Here is a 6,541-nt window from a genome sequence, read left to right on the forward strand (position 1 = left end):
GCAACAAGGGGTATGTGAGTGAGTTTGGGGTTTGGCCACTGCAAGTCAGACACACAGGCTGCTGCAGCAGAGCAGGAAGCTCCAGGTGCTGGTATGGGTGCCAGGTCTCTGCAAGGCTGCAGCTGGACCAGGTGCACCACAAGCAGCTTCCCCAGAGGGCACCTGGGAATTGCACTGGCACCCAGAAGCTTGGAGACGCCAGGCACTGCAGTACCCCAAAGGGGGAGTCACAGTCCTGGCTTGGGAGCTCCCAGGTCTGGGTTCCCTAAAGGGCTGCAGCTCTTCTTTCTTCTCTTTCCTTGCAAAGTGGCAAGAAAGGGGCATGTTTCAGCCATTTGTGTAATACTTTTTTAGCTCTGCCATTCGGCAGGTCCCTAGTTCTTGTCCTGCAACCAAGAAGAATGAGGTACGCAGACAAGTGGAGGGTGAGCAAGATGAAGAGGAGCTTTATTGAGCAATAGAACAACTCACAGGAGAGGATCCCAATGGATAGCTCCTTTCTGCGGCCAGGGTGTCCCGACATGTGTTCATCTCCTAGCAGAGAGGAGGCCCTGGAGTGGGTTGCTCCCCTCTGCTGCTGGTCATCCCAATGTCTCCTGCTGTCAACAGAGAGGGTAGTTCATCTCTGCAGCTGCTCATCTGTCATCTGCTCAGCTCTGGCTGAGCCTGGGCTTTTATGGGCTTCAGAGGGGACGAAGCGCATGCCAGTTGGCCCATGAGTGGCCATAGGTGGCCCAGAAAAGGCACTACAAATTCCTACTTCAGTCCTTGGGACTGGCATCTTGGCCCCAGCCTTCAGACCCTCCCTGGCCTTCAGGCCTCACTGGGGACCCACCCCCTTCCACCCAGGAATCTGTCTGTGTCCTGCTGCCATTTATGGCACCCAGGCTCAGCCCCAATTTTGCTCCAAGTTCTGAGTGGGCTCCAAAGGCAGGGACAAACCAGGCAGCAAGAGCAGGCACTTCTGAACCTGCAAGGGCAGGGGACGGGGAATGCCCTGTGAGTGCAGAGATAGCCAGCTCTGCAGCCACAGCTTAGGTGGCTGTAGCTGTGCTGGGGAGGGTGGGGCTCCTGCCTGCACCCTGGATCAGGAGGCCTGGATCCACAGCCATGACTTGGGTGGCTGCAGCTGCACCTGGGGGGGTGTGTCTCTGGGCTGCTCCCTGGAGCAGGAGGCCGAGAACCACAGCCATGACTTGAGCGGCTGCCGCCCCACCTGGGAGGGTGGGGCTCCTGCCTGCTCTGTGGAGCCAGAGGCCCAGGCCACGCCTCCCTGCTGCAGCTGGTTTGATGGCAGTGGCAGTTCCATAGGGCCTCCACTGCCATCATTTAGAAAACTTGAATCACTCTGAATTGTCCCATTACCTCACCTCACCCCAAATTTGACTTGTCTCTAAAACATCTCTTGAACTTGATGGTGTCTCTGCACTGTCAATGTCTCGGTCTCTTGCTTGGGCTACTGACTTGATTTCTGTCAGATCTTTGTGCCACCAGGCTTTCTCACACTTCCCTTTTTTCAAATGATCTTCCCTGAAAAACAAATTAGTTGTTTCCCTTTATGATCTAAAGTCCTTAATTGCTTTCTTCCTCTGAATTATTGCCTTTGAAATAATGACCAAACCTCTTAGCAAGTAGTGTCTTCATGATTTGGTTTTAGGGCCCTTCTCAGTTTTATATCTAGACCTCATTTTTATATAACTTGTAGACCTATCATTCATACAAAATTATTTCCAGGGGTCTATGTCTTTGCACGTTTTTCTTGTTCTCTATTTCTGTAAAGCCCTCCCTGACTGACAACTGATGCTCATCCTTTCACTGCAACTAGAGTATAAGTTACTCTGAGAAGATTCTTCTGGCCTTCCTTGATACTTGTGTAGAATTAAGTATCCTGTCTCTAGGATACCATTGGTTTTGTACATATGTCTTTTACGGGATTTCTGTTGAACTTTAATTAATTATTTGCCTGTCTATAATTCTCCTTATACTTGGAGATCTGTTAGGTTGTTAATAGACATATATTGAATGAATAACAAATGCCAAAGTTTAGTATTGACCCCAAATATATATTACTGATCCTTAAGTCAAATAACATCAACAATGTTGGTGACTTAAATTAGTTCCTATGACAGAAACAAATGATGATGGGAACATTAATTAATAATATGGAACACAAACTGAAAAAAGCTTTGTGCATCACTAATGGCCAGCTAACTGCTTTAGACAGTAAGTGCTACGAATTCAGGAACAGAGCCTGTTTGGACTGGAGAGATCTGGTAAAGATTTCTGAAGGAGTAACTTAAGCTAAACCTTAGAAAGTATTTTGCATTTAAGAGGTAAAGAGGAAAGGAGAAAGCATTGGGAAAAGGGGAAAAGTCTAATCAAAGTCACAGAGACAGAAGAGGATAAAGAGAGTTCATAGAAGAGTGAGTTGGCAAATTAGACACATTATGCTAGGTTAAAAAAATAGAATGTGGCCACAGTATGCATGGATTCGTATGTCATACTGAGAATCACAAACCATATCTGGAAAATAGGGGTAAGTCCTAAAATGCATTTGGGAGGAGAATTTTAAAATATAAGTTGTGCTACTGGAAGAAAATATTTTGATAGGAATACCACCAGAAGGCTCCTGCAGCGGCATTTTAGAGCCTGACCTAAAGTGAAGTCACTGAAAGCGTATTTAAAAAGACTGTAGGAGGCCGGGCGCGGTGGTTCACACCTGTAATCCCAGCACTTTGGGAGGCCGAGGCAGACGGATCACAAGGTCGGGAGATCAAGACCATCCTGGCTGGTGAAACCCCGTCTCTACTAAAAATACAAAAACATTAGCTGGGCGTGGTGGCGGGTGCCTGTAGTCCCACCGCCTCAGGAGTCTGAGGCAGGAGAATGGCGTGAACCCGGGAGGTGGAGCTTGCCGTAGCTGAGATCGCACCACTGCACTCCAGCCTGGGCGATAGAGTGAGACTCCGTCTCAAAAAAAAAAAAAAAGACTGTAGGAGAACTGACACAGTTAGTGTTTCATTAGACATGGACTATTGGTTAAAGAAAAAAAAAAACAGTATTAAACTTAAATGATCAAGTAATAGTGGTAATATCAAAAATAGTATTCCTGAGTACTACTATGTGTCAAATACTTCACGTATATATTTAAAAATTTTTTAGCTTTTATTTTAGGTTTTGGGGGTACATGTGAAGGTATGTTACACATGTAAATATGTGTTTTGGGAATTTGTTGTACATATTATTTCATCAGCCAGGTATTAAGCCCAGTACCCAATAGTTATCTTTTCTGCCACCTTCCACCCTCAAATAGACCCCAGTGTCTGTCGTCTTCTTCTTTGTGTCCATAAGTTCTTATCATTTAGCTTCCACTTATAAGTAAGAATATGTGGTATCTGGTTTTCTGTTACTGAGTTAGTTTGCTAAGGATAATATCCTCCAGTTCCATCCATGTTCCTATAAAATACATGATCTCATTATTTTTTATGACTGCATAGTATTCTGTGGTGTATACATACCAATTTTCTTTATCCAGTCTGTCACTGGTGGGCATTTAGGTTGATTCCATGTCTTTGCTATTGTGGCTAGTGCTGCAATGAACATACACATGCATGTATCTTTATAATAGAATGATTTATATTTGTGTGAGTAAAGGGATTGCTGGGTCAAATGCTAGTTCTGCTTTTAGCTCTTTGAGGAGCCACCATACTGCTTTCCAGAGTGGTTGTACTAGTTTACACTCCTATCAACAATGTATAAGTGTACCCTTTTCTCTGTAACCTCACTAGCAATTGTTATCTTTTGGCTTTTTAATAATAGCAATTCTGACTGGTGTAGATGGTATCTTGTGGTTTTGACTTGTATTTCTCTAATGATCAGTGATAATGAGCTTTTATTCATATGCTTGTTGGCCGCATGCATGTCTTCTTTTGAGAAGTGTATATTCATCTCCTTTGCCTGCTTTTTAATGGAATTGTTTGTTTTTCTATTGTAAATTTGTTTAGCAATTTGTTTAGATGCTGAATATTAGACCTTTGTCAGATGCATAGTTTGCAAATATTTTCCCCAATTCTGTAGGCTGTGTTTACTTCATTGATGGTTTCCTTTGCTGTGCAGAAGCTCTTTAGTTTAATTAGATCACACTTGTCAATTTTTGTTTTTGTTACAATTGCTTTTGGTGTCTTTGTCATGAAATCTTTGCCCATTCCTATGTCTAAGATGGTATTGCCTAGGTGATCTTGTGGGGTTTTTATAGCTTTTGGGTTTACATTTAAGTCTTTAATTTATCTTGAGTTGATTTTTATGTATGGTGTAAGGAAGGGGTCCAGCTTCAATCTTTTACGTATGACCAGCCAGTTATCCCAGAACCATTTATTGAATAGGGGGTGTTTTCCCCATTCCTTGTTTTTGTCAGTTCTGTGGAAGATCAGATGGTCGTAGATGTGCAGCCTTATTTCTGGACTCTCTATTCTGTTCCGTTGGTCCATGTGCCTGTTTTTGTACCAGTACCATTCTGTTTTGGTTACTGATTATAGGGTTAGCCCTGTAGAATATTTTGGGTATATTTAATTGAGGCATTTAGCCCATTTACATTCAAGGTTAGTATTGATATGTGTGGATTTAATCCTGTCATTGTGCTGTTAGCTGGTTATTGTGTTGGCTTGTTTGTGTGGTTGCTTTACAGTAACACGGGTATGTGTGTTTAAGTGTGTTTTTGTATTAGCTGGTATTGGTCTGTCCTTTCTATATTTAGTGCTACTTTCAAGATCTCTTGTACAGCAGGTCTGGTGGTAATGAATTTCCTCAATATTTGCTTATCTGAAAAAGATTTTATCTTTCCTTTATTTAGGAAGCTTACTTTGGCTGGATATAAAATTCTTGATTGAGAATTTTTTTTCTTTAAGAATGTCGAATATAGGCCCCCAGTCTATTCTGGCTTGTAGGGTTTCAACTGATAGATCCACTGTTAGCTTGATGGGGTTGCCTTTGTTGGTGATGTGCCCTTTCTTTCTAGCTGTCTTTAAAATTCTTTCATTTTGACCTTGGAAAATCTGATGATTGTATCTTGGGGATGATCTTCTTGTGTAGAATCTTTCAGGAGTTCTCTGTATTTTCTGAATTTCACTGTTGGTTTCTCTAGCAAAACTGCGGGAAGTTTTCATGAATGATACTATGTTTTCCAAGTTGTTTGCTTCCCCCCACCACCTCACCCCTTTCAGGGATGCCATTGATTCCTAGAGTTGGCCTCTTTACATAATCCCATGCTTCTCAGAGGTTTTGTTTATTCCTTTTTATTCTTTTTTTTTTTAATCTGTCTTATTTCAGAAAACCAGTCTTCAAGTTCTAAGATTCTTTCCTCAGCTTGGTTTATTCTGCTGTTAATATTGTGATTGCACTGTGAAATTCTTGTATTGTGTTATTCAGCTCTGTCAGACCCATTAAGTTCTTTTTTATATCAGTAATTTTGTCACTCAGCTCCTGTATCACTTTATTGTGATTCTTATTTTCCTTGGATTCAGTTTTGCCATCTTCCTGAATCTCAGTGGTCTTTGTTCCTGTCCATGTTCTGAATTATATTTCTCTCATTCAAGCCAGTTTAGCCTGATTAAGAACACTTGTTGGAAAATGGGTGCAGTCACTTGGGTAGTTGAGTAACCAGAGTTCTTGCATTGGTTCTTTCTCATATCTGTATGTGAGTATTTCTTTAACTGCACTGTAGATTAAGTACAGTCAATAGATTTCCTTTCTGGAGGTTTTCGCTGGGCCCAGGCTTTGTGCGGTGTCCTTATTTGAAGCTGACTTCTTGTCTCTTGTTTCATAGGGGGGTCTATTAGTGAGGTGTTTTTGGTGTTGAAGCTTTGGAGTGTGATCTAGCGGGTGGCACATAGACTTATTGATCAGTTGGTAGACTCTTGTTTGGTTTTGTGGCTCTCCCATGTTTCCTCACAGTTGCAGCTGTGTTCCCTCTTAATGCTCTGAAAGTGTGGGTTTGTCTCCCTCTTGAGTGATGGCTATAGATTCTAACTTGGCACTTCTGAGATACCCACTGCAGCTGTGGAGCAATCTCATGGTTATGTTTCTTTCCCAACTTGGAGGTAGCCGAGCAAGGGATCTTAGTAGTGGTTGTGGCTTAGGGTCATTTGTTTGTCTCCTGGGGGCTCCACCCAGAAAGATGTAGGTCAGGAATCACTCAGTGTAATCAGCCCAGGATGGAGGGTCTGTGCTGTGGGCCCAAGCCAGTGTTCCCTGTATGGTGACAAGCAGTGGGCATGTGTGGGACCCATGGGAGACAGACTGGCCTCCTCTCCTTGGGTCAACTGCAGCTTGTTGGAGGTGTGGATAAGGCACTTGGGTTTTTGCTCCTTCATTGGCCTGAGGGTGGCAAGGGCAGTTCCACTGCAGAGGCAGAGGCAGAAAAGCTTTCTTGCCCCTGTAGGCCCTGTCCAGAATGTCGCCGAATTGCTACTGGCTTCATAGCTCTGGTGAAGTCTGGCTGGAGGCCCAGGCCTGGAGGACCTGCCCGATGAGGAGATATGGGAAT

At 43.4% G+C, this 6,541-nt stretch overlaps 1 annotated feature.

Annotated features, from left to right (window-relative positions):
• Positions 494 to 995: an enhancer, noted in NCBI's record as "H3K4me1 hESC enhancer chr3:154484051-154484552 (GRCh37/hg19 assembly coordinates)". NCBI's record gives its function as "activates a minimal SCP1, AML or CMV promoter by ChIP-STARR-seq in naive H9 embryonic stem cells {active_cell/tissue: H9 hESC(naive)}" and the evidence as "EXISTENCE:reporter gene assay evidence [ECO:0000049][PMID:30033119]".

Source organism: Homo sapiens, chromosome 3 (assembly GCF_000001405.40).
Source record: "Homo sapiens chromosome 3, GRCh38.p14 Primary Assembly".
Taxonomy (NCBI): domain Eukaryota; kingdom Metazoa; phylum Chordata; class Mammalia; order Primates; family Hominidae; genus Homo; species Homo sapiens.